Source organism: Homo sapiens, chromosome 4 (assembly GCF_000001405.40).
Source record: "Homo sapiens chromosome 4, GRCh38.p14 Primary Assembly".
NCBI classification, from domain to species: Eukaryota; Metazoa; Chordata; class Mammalia; order Primates; family Hominidae; genus Homo; species Homo sapiens.
The window spans coordinates 173,795,185-173,813,296 of record NC_000004.12 but is presented as its reverse complement, the minus strand read 5'-3'; the positions used below and the strand labels follow the sequence as shown (position 1 = coordinate 173,813,296).

The following is an 18,112-nucleotide window of genomic DNA, read 5'->3' as shown; positions in this document are numbered from 1 at the left end:
TGCAACTTTTTTTCAGAAGCAACCCTTCAGGAAAAGTCTCTATCTAATCACAAAATCCAAATGGTCTCTTTTCTTGTACTCTTTTCTTCGTGACCAGGAGTGTGTGTGGGAAAATAACCAAAGTGTTCCTAGGAAGCAGATCACTTAGTAGAGAAAAATAAGTCTTTTCAGGCTACCTTCATATTCTTACACTCTCTTGTTTCCTTTAGGATTATTTTGAAGACACGTCTCACACATTCATTAAGAAGTAATATACTTAATGTTTTACTTTGCATTTGTTAATAATTTTAGTGTTTCCCTTAAAAAGACTTTTGAAATTTGCCCTGGATTGCAGCTCATTATTTGGTAATTACGACTGAATAAATTGTATTCCAGTCTTCACTAATTTCATTGGGTTTTCTACTATAAATGTATTTTCTGGAAAAAAAAATGTAGAATAAATGAAAAAAAGAAAGCAACCCAGGGAAGACAGAAATTTTAAATTTACCTAAAGGCAGACCAGCAAGGGTAGCTTTCTAAAACCTTCTTCTCTCAGCCATGGCACAGAGTCTTTATGAGGACATGATATAAAAATGCAGTTCACGATCAACAAGTCTTAATAGTAGTTCTGTTCTTAAGAGGGGTAAATGAATAGACTTTGAGATACACAATTTTTTTTTATTAATTGCCTATTACATAGATAACAAATTTTGTTAAAACATTTATTCTTAAATCCAATAATGTTTCATCTAACCAAGTATGAGATGATAAGACACATCATCATTGTTGTTGCCATGTATTTTATTATAACCTTCTCTGTAATTATCAACAATGGCATTTGTTTATATCATTAGAAAATATTAGAGAAAATAAAAGTAATAAATATATTAATAATAATAAGCATTGGTTTTTATTGCCAATATCTGTGTGTTTTTAGAGTGTTAATGTTTATGCCAGGAGAAGCCTGGTCAGGCTGTATTTCATTTCTATTAAAATATTTAATATTTTATTTCATTTCTACTAAAATAAGGCTTATTTTGAAAGTGTGTTACTTTTCCAAATTTAGATTTTCTTCAACCTAAAGCCTCATTTTGAAGCATCCTAAATATTTTCTGAATATTATTGCAAAGAACAACAAAAAAAGTATACCCAATTAAGTAAGACTTTGCTGAAGCCTGATAGTAACTTGTCTGATAGCATATTAATAAATAGCAAATGTGCTCTGGAAGTCCAAGCCAAACTGGGCTTAGAGCAGAAGAAGCAATTTTAAGTTATAACTTTGCCAAATAATATCATCCAGAAAATTAATTCTTATAATTGTGCACAAATCATAATTTATTTTGCTTCTAAACATCCTGTTCAAAGAAGTTTGTAGAAGCTCAGAGTTGAAAAGCACCAGAGAGTTCATACAGTCCAGTTACCACTTAACACTGGAGAAGCAGTTATCCAATCTTGGTTCCCACACTTGTGGCAATGGAGAGCTTACTATTTATTATCAATTGATAATTTTAGAAACATTTTTCTTATATTAATTTCTTATTAATAAATTTATTACTGTATTCTCATACATATTAAGGGCAATCTCCTTGTAATTTACTCTCTTTGATATTGTTTCTGCTATCTAGAATATTAACAAAAACAACCACAGGAACTCTCACTACCACTTGCTGAGGACTCCATATGAGCCGGGCATGACAACAGGCGTTCCACCTAGGTTTCTTCACTTAATCTTCATGACTAACCCGAGCTGTTGTTAGCTTCTATTATCCCTATGTTTTCTTGATAATAAAAAGGGCTGATAGAGATTAAATAACTTGCCTGAGAGCACATAAATAGCAAAGCTGTGTTTCAAACCCAGATTTGAAAATGTTAAGGTTTTTGTCATATTGCTATATCAAATAACAGCCTTTTACATATTTAAAGTAGGGGTCATATCTGTATAAGTCTACTCTTTTTCCCACTAACTGTACCCAGTTCCTTCCATTATGCCTCCTATGTTAGTCCTTCCGTGATTGTACTATTTTATTCACTCTGCTCTGCATACATTGTTTGTCAATATCTCCATAAAGCAAACTACCCAGAAGTAAGTGCAATGTTCCAAGTCTTGTCTAGGCAAACAGAGAGGCATATGAAAACCTCCTTTTCTCCAGATGTTACTGCCTCTTACAATGTAGACTAAAATGGCATAATTTTAAAAGCCTTATTATAGAATTAAATATAGTCAACAAAAATTCTGAAATCTCTTTTATAGATTCTGCCGCTTAGTCTTATTACCCCAACTTGTATCTATAATTAATCCTTTAAGCAAAAATATAGGTCTATATTTTTTCAAGTAAACTTCTATTAAATTTTATATTTGTCCCTATTGATCTATTAAATCTAACTTGTGGAAATTATTTAAATAATGAAAATAGTATCTACTGTTTTTGCTATCCCTCATAGCTTGCAGTTATTCTACAATTTAACAATGGGCCATCTGTGTCTATATTGAAAGAAATGCTTGAAAGTGAACAGGGCAGCTTATATAATAGAATAAAATAAAAGGGAATCCTTATAGAGATCAATTCCATAGCTTAAGACATGATCATTTTAAGAAGAGTAATAGTGTAAGCTACCAAGACATTCAAAGAGTTGACCAGATCATGAATAATCAATGGCTGTATGGATGAATGGATGGATGGATGGATGGATGGATGAGAGATAGATGGCTAATAGGACTTCGAGGGAGTGACACTTTGTTAAGTAAAGTGATGAGATGCAAAGACAGTAGCCCATCCTTAGCGTCAATGTGGCATCTGAGGAAGACCCTCCGTGTAAGGCCCTCTTCTCTCTGGCAAATATTGGTAGAGAAAGAAGCTACAAAGAGAAAAGTTACAGAAATTGTGCAAATCGTTGTGCCTCGGATTGGTCCAAATTTCTGGATGATGAAATGTGTAACATTTCATGCACCGAATAAAGTTTTTGACCAAGAACTACAGATCTTCCCTTCCAAAGTAGTCAGCAGGACTTTACCATCAAACTTTCTTGTCTCTCCCTCCTGTTCAAGTAAAACAGGACTGTAAAAAGCCCAGTTCTTTATTTCATTCCCAGAATGTAGGTGTGTGTGAGTGTCTATTTTCCTCTGGCACCTTTTGTGCCTCAAAACTCACTAAAGCATAAGGTTAAATCTGTGCTGCCCTTTTCCAGCTGCAAAAACCCAACCTTTGGGCAAAGCTGTAATTTGAAAGTTATGAAATAGCATAGCTTCCCAAAGCACAGAAATAGGATCCACGAACAAAAATTTTAGAAAAATAAGTTTGACACAACTGAAGGAAGAGTTTTTAAATATTTGAAAGGGAAATAGAAATTATTGAACACCTGGTTTGTGCCAATAAGTTTAAATGTAGAACCAATTGAGTCTTGTGTTACTAAATAGATGATGAAAAGAGAAGAGACTCAATTACACATTTCCAGCAGCATTTTTGTTGTGAGAAACAGACTTTAATTTAAATATTAAGATAAAATTACTCATTTTTTCCTAGATAAACCACCCTAATAAATTTTTTATATGTTAAAAACTAAGTAAAAACCATCTTCTAGAAGAAAAATTGTGACATGTTACCTAAGCAGTTAAACCACTCTGTGTAATGCAGGAAAATTGGCCATTTTCTTAGTGATTGATCATTCCTCTGAAAGCAGAAGGAAAAACAATGATCAGAGTACAGTCTTCACCTTAAAGTGGTGATTACTGACATTATTTTAAAGAAATGTTTATTTCATAAGTATCAATTTTGAATTTTCTATACTCATATAAGTGTGTCAAGGAGTGAGTATGGGTATATCTGTAAAATTAAAATAAAATTAGCAGGAAAAAAATGTAGGCCTGGTGTTCGCCTTGATATAGAGGAAAGACTGACTTCAGGGAAAATATTAGCATTAGAATATTATATTCTATAAGAAATCTATGGTCCACATTACTGAGGGAACAGAGGAATGTTAAATTTCCCCCAGATACCATAGAAGTTTCCACAGTTCATCATCCTAGGTACAGTTAAACTCTGGAGCAGAATTGAGGACTTTGAGACTCAGGAGAAAATAAACATCTTCTCACCTCAAAGTCACAAGCAGTTAAGGCACTAAACTGGAAATAGGTGAGAGTAAGGCCTGCCCTGCTGGGAGTGGTAGGGTGGCCCTGAGACAGGACAACAGGCCAGGAGCAAAGGTGGGAGTTTGGGGTCTGCCTTTGAGAGGCAAGCCAGAATCTTGGTAGAAAGGCCTCCAATAGGAGAGCTCTGTCATGTGACTCAGTCTTGTGTATTTCAAAACAAGCATTTTTAGACGTTAGTTTCAAATTTTTTATTGCTAGGATTTCCATCCGTTTCCCCAAGTCTCCAGTGATGTCTCATTAAAACTTGTAAGCTTCATTCTGCTTTTGTCATGGAGAACACAGAGAAGGCTCTGTGTACCATGCTTGTGGTGACATTATATTTGGGAAGGCAACAGCCTCCCGAGGGAAGTCAGTGTGACCCCTTCAAAAGGTAGTAATGGCACAAGGCTGGAGCACAGCAGACAGAAACCCAGAAAATGACACTTAGAATGGGTCTGCGGAGCATCAGACCTACTGTATTGCTCAAACTCTTCCTAGTAAGAACATGGGATAACATGGTTAAAGGCCAAACAACTATTGTCAAGTGAAAGGCAAAACTCGAACTACTGCAATTTGTATTAAAAAAGAAATGTGGCCGGGCATGGTGGCTCACGCCTGTAATCCCAGCACTTTGGGAGGCTGAGGCGGGAGGATCACGAGGTCAGGGGATCGAGACCATCCTGACTAGAACGGTGAAACCCCGTCTCTACTAAAAATACAAAAAAATTAGCTAGGCGTGGTGGCGGATGCCTGTAGTCCCAGCTACTTAGGAGGCTGAGGCAGGAGAATGGCGTGAACCCGGGAGTCAGAGCTTGCAGTGAGCCGAGATCGCGCCACTGCACTCCAGCCTGGGCGACAGAGCCAGACTCCGTCTCAAAAAAAAAAAAAAAAAAAAAAAAAGCGACTGCAGTTTAGTAACTTCTGCTAGACTGGAATTAAACATAACATAAGCTATTTTTCAACACTTTGAAGTAGATATTTAAATTTTGTTTCATAGACAGGAAACTGAGATTTGACTACATTTCTTGCCCAAATGCAATATGGCTCCTGAATATCAACTCCAGGTTTCAGATTGTGTTATTGACTCAAAAGGTTCTGTTTTGTCTTTGAACACACTGCTTCCCTAAATGTGAAACTGGCTGTATCAGAGAGTAATTAAGATCTTTGTTAATAAAAGGATTCAAGTGGAGATTCTGGGGATAATATAAAGAAGATGATGTGTGTATATGGAGATTGAAACATACAATTCCAAAGTGTTGTGATTCTAACTTTTTGGCCCTGTGTTAATTATATGCCACAAATCTAATTTCTTCTGGTGATTAACAAGGCAGATATCATGGTACATTATTCTCTAATTTTTCTATTCCCAAATAAATTTAATAAACCAAAACAAAAAACTCTAACCATTATTTTAGAACAGAAGGGGGGACACTGGACCTTCTGTGACTTTTTTTAAGAAAACAAATGCCACCTGGATGAAGCTTCACTGTTTCCAAGACTGTTGCAACATCAGCAGTCAGCAGCAGGGTCCAATGCAATGATTTTAATGACTTCAGTCGAGTGCTGGCGTGGAGCTATGCACAGTCTCCAAGACTAGAACAGAACACAAAGGGAAAAGCCCACTTTCTGCCAATGGAATGAAAACATTGCAGATCTGCCAGGGTTAATTAATAACACAGTGAGAAGACCTTGTTCACCAATGGTCACTTGGAGTTGAACCAAGGACTTTGGGAGTGAAGCTGGGCTGCCTGCCATACTGGTCATCTCATAAACTACAATTATTGGGTGTAGAGAGTCAACAAAAATATTTTGTCTCAGCCTGTTTGTGCAAAAAGCCTTCTTTTCCTTCTTCTGAATACATGACTCAAATAGAGAACAGAGAGACCCCAAATCTCCCAACTTTGGCCTTCAGCTTTGCCTAGATTTTTCTTATTCTGCTTTTATTTTACTTAATCTGGAGACCTAATGCCGCGAAAAGATTAATTACAATAGTTTCATAAAAATTGTCCTTTAAAATCCAAAGGAATATATGTAAATATTTATGATTTTTAAATGGCAGATGCAATGGACTTCCATCCGCCCAAAAAGCCATTTACAATGGCTGTCCTCCATTGCCTCCCTCTGCACTAAATAACCCAATGTCTTCAGACACCCGAACATCTTCTGTAATCAGCCCTCAAGAGCTATTATCTCCACATTTACATAAAATAAGAGAACATGTTTCTGGGAAGGATAATTTCTGAAAACATAAAAATGTCTAAGAGTTTTGTTTTTTGTTATGTGGGAGATTTACAAATAGATTCTTCACTAAATTATTTAGATTTTTTTTCAGAACTATGTGGTCCTTCCACATTCCAGAAACTTTCTTGAACATACTGCAACAGATGAAGACAAAAAATGAGCAGAAACTCATTTTGTTGGTTAACAAGTGCCATAATATTTCCTAACAAATAGCAAAATAAACCAAAAAATGGACTGCACTCCAATTGTTATCCAGCTAAGATCATTTAAAAGTGATCTGAAGGAAATAAAATACAGACAGGCTATTTTACCTCCATGAGAGGAAAATAGGAAAAAAAAACTTTATTTAAGTTATAGTTACTAGAAAAGACTTACTAAACCCTGTGCTATGATTTTGCTTTCTTTTGAGGTTGCCCAGTAAACTAGTTCTGTTAAATGAGCCAGGCTGGGACTAAGATTAGGCAAGTGAAGCGTTTGCCTTGTCCACAAAATTCAAAGGAGTGACAAAAAATTGGGGAAATAAGATAATCTTTTGATGCAATAATTTTTTTGAAAATCAAAGTGAATGCAAGCACCTATGATGGACAAAGTATCAAATTTTAAATAATGGCAGGATCCCTTAACAGGTGTGAGCTAAAAAGCCAAAGAGAAAAAGAAATTTTCTGAAAATTGATAGTGATCCATCAAAACCTCAATTATAGAGCAGAAATTATGCCATGAGGGGAAGAAAAAGACAGGGTGATACAAAAGCTGACATCAGAACCCATTTTAGGAAAGAAAATGCCCTCCGCTGGAACAGGCACCTTGCTCAGCCTTTCTGGCTGTAGGATGACAGCCCTCAGTGCATGCATGGCCAGTGTGGGCTGGAGTGAGATCAAAAGAACTGAATGCCTGCTCAATATCCTCACTACAGAGGGAACAATTTTCATGGTCTCCAGGCAGGCCAAAGGAGAAAAAAAAAAAGAACAAGACAAGAAAGATGGTGAGCTAGGTCCCTAGGAAGAAGGACATGAAATTCCTTAATGGCTAATGATACCCCAGGTGCTGACATTTAACACAGCATACTGGGTAAGAGGTGGGTACTCAAAAACTAGACCACTTGGTCTTCATCATGGCTATCCAGTTTATTAGTTTATTCATTTGGGATGACTTGGAAATGATCTGTCCCTTTTCTTCTGCATATGTAAAGTAAAAGAGGCAGATTAATAAAATAGAATATGTATGCATATGTGTATATCTAATATACTTTTCTATGCCTTGAATGAAGCATCTCAGACTAAGAAATGAAAGAAAAATTAGTAAAAGATGCTAACAATGATTTATATTATTAGAGAAAAATATCAAATCAATTTAAATTATTTTAACAATATGTATAAGAAATCTTTATCTTTTTGTAGGTCATTATTTCTATTCTAGTAAAAAACAAACAAATGCAAAACTCTGTGTAAAGATTATTTTTGCATTATTTGGTGTGCACATACGGAAACTTATTATATTGTAGAAGATTTAAAGTTTAACATAATGAAAGCTCCTCAGTGACAAAGATTTTCATCTTTTTTGTTTATTGATGAAAAGAGTACCAGGGTCACCACAAGCACACCGTAAATATTTATTAAATGAATGAATAAACTTTCACATTTTAAAATTTGTGATAATCTCATGAGTTTACTTTGTAAGTATAATTTTGTTTCATTTGATAATTTTTTCCTTTCTAATTATTATAATTTTTATTTTTTCAAAATTCTGATCTTCCACAATAATGTTAAATAACAAACATAATAAGAAAAAATTTAATAACAAAACTAATAATAGAAAACTTTGTTTTTTTCCTGATTTTCACAGTAATCCCTCTATTGATTTACTGTTAAACATAATGCAATATCCTTCTCTTGAAGAATTAGAAATACACACCATTCAAGTCATAGGCACAGGTGAAGATTTCATGACAAAAACGTCGAAAGCAACTGCAAAAAAAGCAAAAACTGACAAATGGGATCTAATTAAACTAAAGAGCTTCTGCACAGCAAAAGAAACAATCATCAGAGGGAACAGACAACCTACAGAATGGGAAAAAAGTTTTTCCAATCTATCCATCTGACAAAGGGCTAATATCCAGAATCTACAAGGAACTTAAATTTACAAAAAATAAAAATTAAAAAGCGGGCAAAGGACATGAACATAATGAACACAAACTTCTCAAAAGAAGACATTCATGTGGCCAACAAACATGAAAAAACAAGCTCACCATCACTGATCATTACAGAAATGCAAATCAAAACCACAATGAGATATTATCTCACACCAGTCAGAAGGGCGATTATTAAAAAGTCAAGAAACAGAAGATGCTGGCAGGGCTGCTGAGAGATAGGAACTCTTTCACACTGTTGGTGGGAGTGTAAATTAGCTCAATCATGGTGGAAGGCAATACAGTGTTTCCTTAAAGACCTAGAACAGAAATACCATTTGACTCAGCAATCCCATTACTGAGTATATACCCAAAGGAATATAAATCATCCTATAATATTATAAAGATACATGCATGCTTATGTTCATTGCAACACTATTCACAATCCCAAACACATGGAATCAACCCGAAAGCCCATCAATGATAGACTGGATAAAGAAAATGTGGTACATATACACCATAGAACACTATCCAGCCATAAAAAGAAAGGAGATCATGTCCTTTGCTGGGTCGTGGGTGGAGCTAGAAGCCATTATCCATAGCAAACTAACACAGGAACTGAAAACCAAATACTGCATGTTCTTCCTTATAAGTGGGAGCTGAACAATGAGAACACATGGACCCAGGCAGGGGAACAACACACACTGGGGCCTGTTGGTTGGAGATGCAGGGAAGGTGGAAGGAGGAGAGCATCAGGATAAATAGCTAACGGATGCTGGGCTTAACACCTAGGTGATGGGTTGATAGGTGCAACAAACCACTATGGCACACATTTACCTACGTAACAAACCTGCACATCCTGCACATGTATCTTGGAACTTAAAATAAAATAAAATTAAATTTAAAAAAAGAAATACTCATTGCCATGTTAAAGTCTCTAATAGGTCAAGAAAAATAGAAATCCATCTTTGTTAATGCTTAAAATGTCTAATATTTAAATATTATAAAATATTTTGGTACACTGGAGTACTTTGGAGCAGCTTGTGAAATGCTGACTCAAACTCATCTTAATTTTCTTCTAGTTTCAGTTCATAAAAATATTTTGGATGAAAAAAATCCAAAAATTGATTTCTCACTTTTTAAATTGTACAGATGCTCCACATGTGTTTTTATTTAATTTATTTTTTAATGTGGAAAAGTTCACTTTGAGCTCTGTGCACGTTATCTATTGCTTCTTGCAAAACACTTGCATCCAAACACTCATTTTTTTAATTTAAAAGAAAAATCTGTTTAAATAACAGATTTGGTAAATAATATATATTAATTGCAGAACATGTAAAACAGTACGAAGAAGAAAACATTACTCTTAATTTCATCATTCAAGGATAGAAAGGCAAGATACATGTCTATTTATCTATCTTTTTATCTAAGTACATTTAGAATTATATTGTATTTGTAGGTCCTGCTTGCTTCTTCCAACATTATCATGCACATTTTTAGATGTCATTGTATATTCTTCAAAACCATGAGTTTCACAGCTGTAACAATCTACTATAAGGACATAAAGAAAGACTTTTTACCAAATATTGAATATTTAGGGTGTTTCTTAGCATTAATTGTGTAAGTAACACTGTGAAGAAATATGTGTACATAAATCTTTGTGTAAGAATCATTTATTATTACTCACATAGAGGAAAAACTAAAGAAACTGTGAGATCACAGAAAAGGACCATACAAGGTCATAAGGTTTCTGTTACAATTCTATTGGCATTAAATGAAGTGTTCTGAGATCCCACCTCTTTTAGTTGCTGTGAACTATTAATATAAAGATAGAATACTGTCATTCTCATTATCAAAAGACACCAGAAAAAAATTCTGCTTCATCATGATACTGGGGAAAGGCTATTCTTGACCAATTTCATTTGCAAGAGTGGCACAGTCCAGATGCTGATTAATGCTGAGGAACCCTGAAGAACACAATGCAAGGAGTTCTGACAATGTATCAGAGAGCAGTCCTGTTTGGAAAGGAGACTGCAGTGCAGGGATGCTGTATTAATATTGCCATTTGCTGAATGACTTGCTGCTAACCCTTTCAATCCTGCAATTCCTCCATCATTGGGCCTTTATGTCCCTTAAGAAATAATACAATGTCAAGGACAATGGGTAGAAATCAAGCGAGGAAGAGGTATGGAATGTGTCTTTATTACTTGAAGAAAATTATCAGTGAGATGAGACAGACTCAGTTCCTGGGAAGCTTCCAAATTTATTGTTTATCAATTGATTCATCTTAAAAATGGAGCTGTAAAACATCAGGACCCAGGATGGTCTTGGTTACTAAATCTGTTCCCCCACCAGGGTAGCATTATACACTTCCAAAACTTTTTAGGCCTCCTCCAAATGACTCAAGAGATGGGAATTTCACCACCTCTTCTGGGAGATTATTTTATGGCCTCTTAAATCTCACCCATTATGAAAGTCTTCCTGATGAAACCATTTTCTTTCTCTTCTTCCGTTCATTCATTACCCTTAGATAATCCCCTAAGGACCACCTTCACAATCCCTCTCCTTTTGGGGGGCTTATGCCTTCAATTATCTGCAAATGGCTATCAGATCCCCACCTCACACACAGGCACACACACTCCTTAGCTCTTTAGCCAACCTACACACATGTAATTCTTTTAATCTTTCCTCATACATCAAAACCTCCAGCTGCTTAATCATTTTAGCTCCTCTAATGAGCAGTGAATTTGAAGGGGGATTATAGTTTCCTTCTCAAGCTTTTCTCATGTCAGCTGTATCCCTTCTCCTCGACCACATGCCAGGTTTCTGTATGCCAACAGCCATTCATCAATAGAAATGAGGTTTTTCTGGAATGCTATGTTCCATAGTAAAAAAATTTTCTTAAAGATCCCTCCTACCCATAACTCATTTCTAGGGTGAATCAATATTTACAAAAGCTACAAGAAAAAAAATCTGAAAGAAATCTGAATCTAGCCTAAATTTCCAACCCACTGAGAAACTTTTAACTATAAGTAACAATTTTAAAATAATATGTTTCCCTTACACTTGGATTATGAACTAATGAAGGAGATTCTATCACCTTTCAGTAAAGGAAGCATGAAAGGACTGAGTACTCATTTCTTTGTCAACAAAAAGTTAATTTAGATGAGTGCCCTCAAGTGAAAAGAAATCCTCCTTTTGTTCTTTAACCACTCTCTGAATAACTGGTAGCTTCTGTGGTTCCTCAGGGGATCCTAATCCTTGACCATAATAGAGATCACCAGGTGGGCCTCACTCTCACTATGCAATCTCAGGCCTTCCCCTCTCCACGATTTTCCCCAAAATGCACTAAGAACCAGCTGGCTACTGCCCTATGAGCATCTCAGACATCTTCAGTTCTTCAAGACCCCAGTATCATTCTTCTGCCTAAAAGCAATCTCTTCTTTGCCAAACATCCCCATTCAAACATGATGTGAATCTTCCTCCCCAAAACTTATCTATCCATCAAGATCTAGCTTCAATTCCATTTCCTCCAGGGAAGCTGCCCTTACCTCTGAACTTCATAATGTTTAATGTATATATCATTAAAACATTCTATCTTGAATATTCATGCCTCCATTTGCTTCATGTTTGACGATTTTACCTCACTATTGATTTGCAGACCCCCTTATATCCTGTTTTTTCAATATGCCTTCAAAGAACCTGTATTAGTCCATTTTCACACCGCTAGAAAGATACTACTCAAGACTGCGTAATTCATAAAGAAAAGAGGTTTAACTGACTCACAGTTCCACACGACTGGGGAGGTCTCAGGAACTTACAATCATGGTGGAAGGCGAAGGGGAAGCAGGCACCTTCTTCACAAGGTGGCAGTAAAGAGAAATGTGTGTGAAGGAGGAGCTGTCAAATATTTATAAAACCATCAGATCTTGTGAGAACTCACTATCACGAGAACAGCATGGGGGAAATCACCCTTATGGCCAAATTACCTCCCTCCCTTAACACATGGATATTACAGGTTCCTCTCTCAACATATATGATTGCAATTCAAGATGAGATTTGGGTAGGGACACAGAACCAAACCATATCATAACCAACACACTGCTGTTCACAAAGTGGGTGGTTAATAAATATTTCCTGATCTCTGCAGTGAGAACCTCCTAAGAAAGCTTCCAAACATTGAAAAATTTTTAAGCATTTATAAAATATAATAGTGTTCCCCTTATCCACAGTTTCTCTTTCCATGGCTTCAGTTATGCTTGGTCAACATCATTCTAAAAATATGAAATGGAAAATTCTAGACATAAAGTTTGGATAAAGGACATTCAAAAATAAATCCATGCATATCCAGTCAACTTATTTTTGACAAAGGCACCAAGTACATACATTGGGAATAGGACAGCCTCTTCAATAAATGGTGCTGGGAACCCTGGATATCCATATGCAGAAGAACAAAAGTGGACCCCTATCCCTCACCATATACAAAAATAAAATCAAAATGGATTAAAGGTGTAATTGTGAGACCTGATACCATAAAACTACTAGAAGAAAACATTGCAAAAAAGCTTCAGGACCTTGGTCTGGGCAAAGGTTTTATGAGTAAAGCTTCAAAACCACAGGCAACCAAGGCAAAAATGGATAAGTGAGATCACATCATACTAAAACACTTCTGCACAGTAAAATAAACAATCAACAAAGTAAAGAGACAACTTATAGAATGGGAGAAAATATTTGTAAGCTATTCAACTGACAAGGAATTAATAACCAGAATATATAAGGAACTCAAACAACAGGAAAAAAATAATAATAATCCAATTTTTAAAATAGGCAAAAGACCTGTAAAGATATTTCTCAAAAGAAGATATACAAAAGGGCAATAGATATATGAGGAAATGCTCAATATCACTAATCATTAGGGAAATGCAAATCAAAGTTTCAATTAAAATGGTAACATCTCACACCAGTTAAAATGGCTTTTATCAAAAAGATTTTTAAAATTCAAACGCTAGCAAGGATGAAGAGAAAGGGAAACTTTCATACTGTTGGTGGGAATGTAAATTAGTACAGCCACTATAGAAAACAGTATAAAGATTCCTCAAAAAACTAAAATAGAACTACCATGTGATTCAGCAATCCCACTGCTAGGTAAATACCCAAAAGAAAGGAAATCGGTGTACTGAAGACATATCTGCACTCCCATATTTATTGCAACATAATTCACAGTAGCCAAGATATGAAATCAACCTAAGCATCCATCACTAGATAAATGGAACTTTGGGAGGCTGAGGCAGGTGGATCATCTGAGGTCAGGAGTTCAAGACCAGCCTGGCCAACATGGTGAAATTCCATCTCTACTAAAAATACAAAAAAAATAGCTGGGAAGGGTGGCATGTGCCTGTAATCCCAGCTATTCGGGAGGCTGAGGCAGGAGAATCGCTTGAACCTGGGAGGCAGAGGTTGCAGTGAGCTGAGATAGCGCCAGTGCACTCCAGTCTGGATGACAGAGCAAGACTCCTCATCAAAAGGAAAGAAAGAAAGAAAGAAAGAAAGAAAGAAAGAAAGAAAGAAAGAAAGAAAGAAAGAAAGAAAGAGAGAGAGAGAGAGAGAGAGAGAGAGAGAGAGAGAGAGAAGGAAGGAAGGAAGGAAGGAAGGAAGGAAGGAAGGAAGGAAGGAAGGAAGGAAGGAAGGGAAGGGAAGGGAAGGGAAGGGAAGGGAAGGAAGGAAGGAAGGAAGGAAGGAAGGAAGGAAGGGGGGAAGGAAAGAAAGGAGAGAGAGAAAGAAAAAAGATATGGTATACATACACAATGGAATATTATTCAGCAATAAAGATATGGTATATATACACAATGGAATATTATTCAGCAATAAAAAAATAATAAAATTGGCAACAGCATGGATGGATGTAGAGGGCATTATATTTAGTGAAATAAGCCAGGCACAGAAAGACAAATATTACATGTTTCTCACTTGCATGCGAGGGTTTAAAAAGCTGATCCTCCATCCTGGCTAACACGGTGAAACCCTGTCTCTACTACAAATACCAAAAAAATTAGCCGGGCGTGGTGGTGGGCCTGTAGTCCCAGCTACTCCGGAGGCTGAGGCAGGAGAATGGCGTGAACCCAGGAGGCGGAGCTTGCAGTGAGCCGAGATCGCGCCACTGCACTCCAGCCTGGGCGACAGAGGGAGACTCCGTCTCCAAAAAAAAAAAGTTGATCCTGTGGAGGTAGAGAGTAGAATGACAGATACCAGAGGCTAGGAATGAAAGGGACAACGAAAGGATAAAGATGGGTTGGTTAATGGGTACAAAAATACAGTCAAATAGAAGGAATTAGATCTAATATCTGGTAGCACAATAGGGAGACTATAGTTAACAATAACCTACTGTATCTTTCAAAATAACTGCAGAGAATATCCACCACCTCAAACATTTATCATTTCTTTGTGTTAGAAACATTCTGATTCCTAACACAAAGAAAGGATAAATGTTTAGGTGATGGATATCCTAAGTACCCCAATTTGATCATTGCACATTGTATGCTTGTATCAAAATACCACATGTACCCCATAAATAGGTACAATTATTATGCATCAATAAAAATAAAAAATAAAAAAGAAGCATGTTTAGATTTCTCTTTAACAAATTCATAAAATACAATAGTAAGTTTCCCTTTCACAGTTTAAGTTAACCTCATCCACAACGGTCCAAAATATTAAATGGAAAATTCCAGAAATAAAAGTTTGGATAAACCTCTATTCAAATTCTTAAGTTTTAAGTTGCATGCTGTTCTGAGCAGCATGGTGAAATCTCACATTGTCCCATACTATCCCACCTGGCATGATTTGAATCAACCGTTTGTTCAGCATATCTATGCTGTATATACTGCTTGCCCCATATGATGTAATTGTATTAGGAAAAGACATAGTCTCTATAGGGTTCTAATCTATCCACAGTTTCATGCATACACTGAGGGTTTTGCAATGTATACCCTGAGGAAAAGGGGAGGCTACCGTATTACATTTATTTTTAAATAGAAATAGCTCCACATTTAATGTTCCAAAACTGTTCTCCTGTGTCTCAGTTTCTATTATTGAAGGATAATAAAAATCAACAAAGCCAACAGATGCATATTCCACCTGGGATATCCAAACTTTCTTTTCATGTTTTCTGGAATTAAGTCAATATCTCTTATTCCCTGTAAAACTCAGTCTTTTTCTCTTTCTACTACTAGTTCATACTTTCACCCTTCCCAGAAACTTCTCTGCCTCTCTTCTGCATTCCTTTGCTCTTCCCACTCACCAAAGAATTAAAAACAAGAGGACATCTATCCAAATTGTCGTAAAACCTACCAATCAGAGATCATCAGCAAAGTATTGTTCATCATCATGTGTTATAAAAGTCTGCCTATGTTACTCCTCACTTTTCATCTTTAACTATTGAACAATTAGCCTGGAGTTAGTGTAACATTCTGTCAATGTCCAGCAGATCAGAAAATCACAGGTACAAATTTTTTCAATAAAAAGAATGGTCTTCTTTTCAAGTGTATGTGCCTCTTCTTGTTGTCACACAGTTTTTTAAAGCTGTATTTCTTGCAGCAGATCCAGACTCCTGCCTCAGAATGGTATCTGGCATCGTAAGTGACATCTCAAATTCTCTAAGGACTCCACCAGGCCAATCTGGCTGCTGAAAACTCCTGCATGTGCAAGTAGAAGACCAGGCCCCGTATTGACTCCAAACAAGCACCACAAGCAACAATTACTGACCTGCAAACAATCTTCTGGGCCTCACTGTTTTCTTACTGAAGTGAAAATACACGCCTTATGCAAGAGCATTCATGATCATTGCTTCTAGAGTGTTCTCAGTATCACTATAGAAAAAGGGCCCATAGACACAAGCTGACTTCTAAGCCCATATGGCAAGTTTCTATGCACTGAAAGGTTAAACAGACATGGGTTCTCCAGGCAGGTCTTTGCCTATCCTATGAACCCTTCTTATGCACTTCTGATGGTCTATAACCTCTTCTTTCCCCAATCTGATTTGTCAACCCCTGTGTGGCATAGTAAAATGGGCTAAAATTTGAAGTTAGAGAGACTCAGTTGAAAACTTTTTCCACCATTTACTCTATTTTGGACAAGTTACTTGTTTTTTGTGAGTCTCTTTTTTCTTCCTTGTATAATGAGGACACTACTGACCTCGGTAATACAGTGGTTAGGAGTGAAGGCTCTAGAATAACAAACTCAGGGTTTGTCTCTTACCATTGGTATATTTTAACTGAATACTCTTGGGCAAATCATAACCTCTTTAACTCTTGGTTTCTTTGTCTGTAAAATGGATTAATAACTGTAAAGTTTATGTGAGAATTAAATGCAATAACATACATAAAGCGACTTGGAAGAGTATCTGATACACAGAATATGTACTATGTACCATGTTCAATGAATATATACTTCCTTTCATTCTCAAGTATCAGGCACAGAAATAGACATTAATAAATCAAAGTAATTAAACCAATACACCAATTTCTAAGATTAGTGTTCCAAATGCATAATTTTACTGCTATATCTTATATAAATGTATTGCTTAAGGCATAGCATTTTAATCATTAAAATAAATACACATAAAAATTGTTTTAGAAAAAAGTTATTAATGAAATATCTGTTTATTAAGATTACTGGCTAGGCACAGTGGCTCATGTCTATAATCCCAGCACTTTGGGCAGCCCAGGTAGGCAGATCTCTTGAGCTCACAAATTTAGGCAACATGGCAAAACCCCCGCCTCTACAAAAAAAAAAAAAAATTAGCTCAGCATAGTGGCATGCGCCTATAGCCCCAGCTACTTGGGAGACTGAGGTGGGAAGATCACCTGAGCCTGGGAGCAGAGGCTTCAGTATTGCATTTTTTTTTGTTAGTAAAGGCCATTAAGAATTTCCAGGAAGTATCCTACATAACCACATATTCATTCTTCTTAAGAGGTTTATATTTTTAACCTAGATTTTTAAGTATGTTTCAAAAGAAAACATAAGGCGAGTAATTTTCTCACAGGGCTTTTGAATAATCAATCTAGAAAATTTTTTAAAAATGAATTTGAATGTAACAATCGCTAACTACAATACATATATTACAGCTGCAATGCAAAAGAGAACTGCTACTGAAGGTTAAGAAACATCATCTCACCCTTAAAATCAGGAAGCCAAATGCATAAATATAGTGACTCCTGCTTTTCTTTTACTGCCATAAAATTCTATGTTTGAGAGGAAACTTTGACCATATTTCACTTTCACCAAATCTTCATTTTACCCCATCAGCCCTAGGAAAAAGAGAATCGCAGGCATTAAAAAATGTTTTGAAAGAGAATGGGTACCTTAGGAAAACGTGGCTTGACTTTTTCACATGTGTAGAGCAATTGCTGAAAGAGTGGTACCAATTTATATGCTGTTAACTATATTTTGAACATTTTTTTAAAAACTCAAAATGATGAAAATGCATTTAATTTAAAAAGTAAAGAGAAAATAGCATTCACTGCTTACTCAAATGAACAACAAAAGAGTTCCTCTTAAAAATATCTGGGGTCAGGGGCTAGGGGAGGTAGGGATAGCATTAGGAGAAATACCAATACCAAAAAAAAAAAAAAAACCTGATTTAG

At 36.1% G+C, this 18,112-nt stretch overlaps 1 annotated feature.

Moving 5' to 3' along the window:
* Nucleotides 11,392-11,961: an enhancer, noted in NCBI's record as "OCT4-NANOG hESC enhancer chr4:174722487-174723056 (GRCh37/hg19 assembly coordinates)". NCBI's record gives its function as "activates a minimal SCP1, AML or CMV promoter by ChIP-STARR-seq in naive and primed H9 embryonic stem cells {active_cell/tissue: H9 hESC(naive and primed)}" and the evidence as "EXISTENCE:reporter gene assay evidence [ECO:0000049][PMID:30033119]".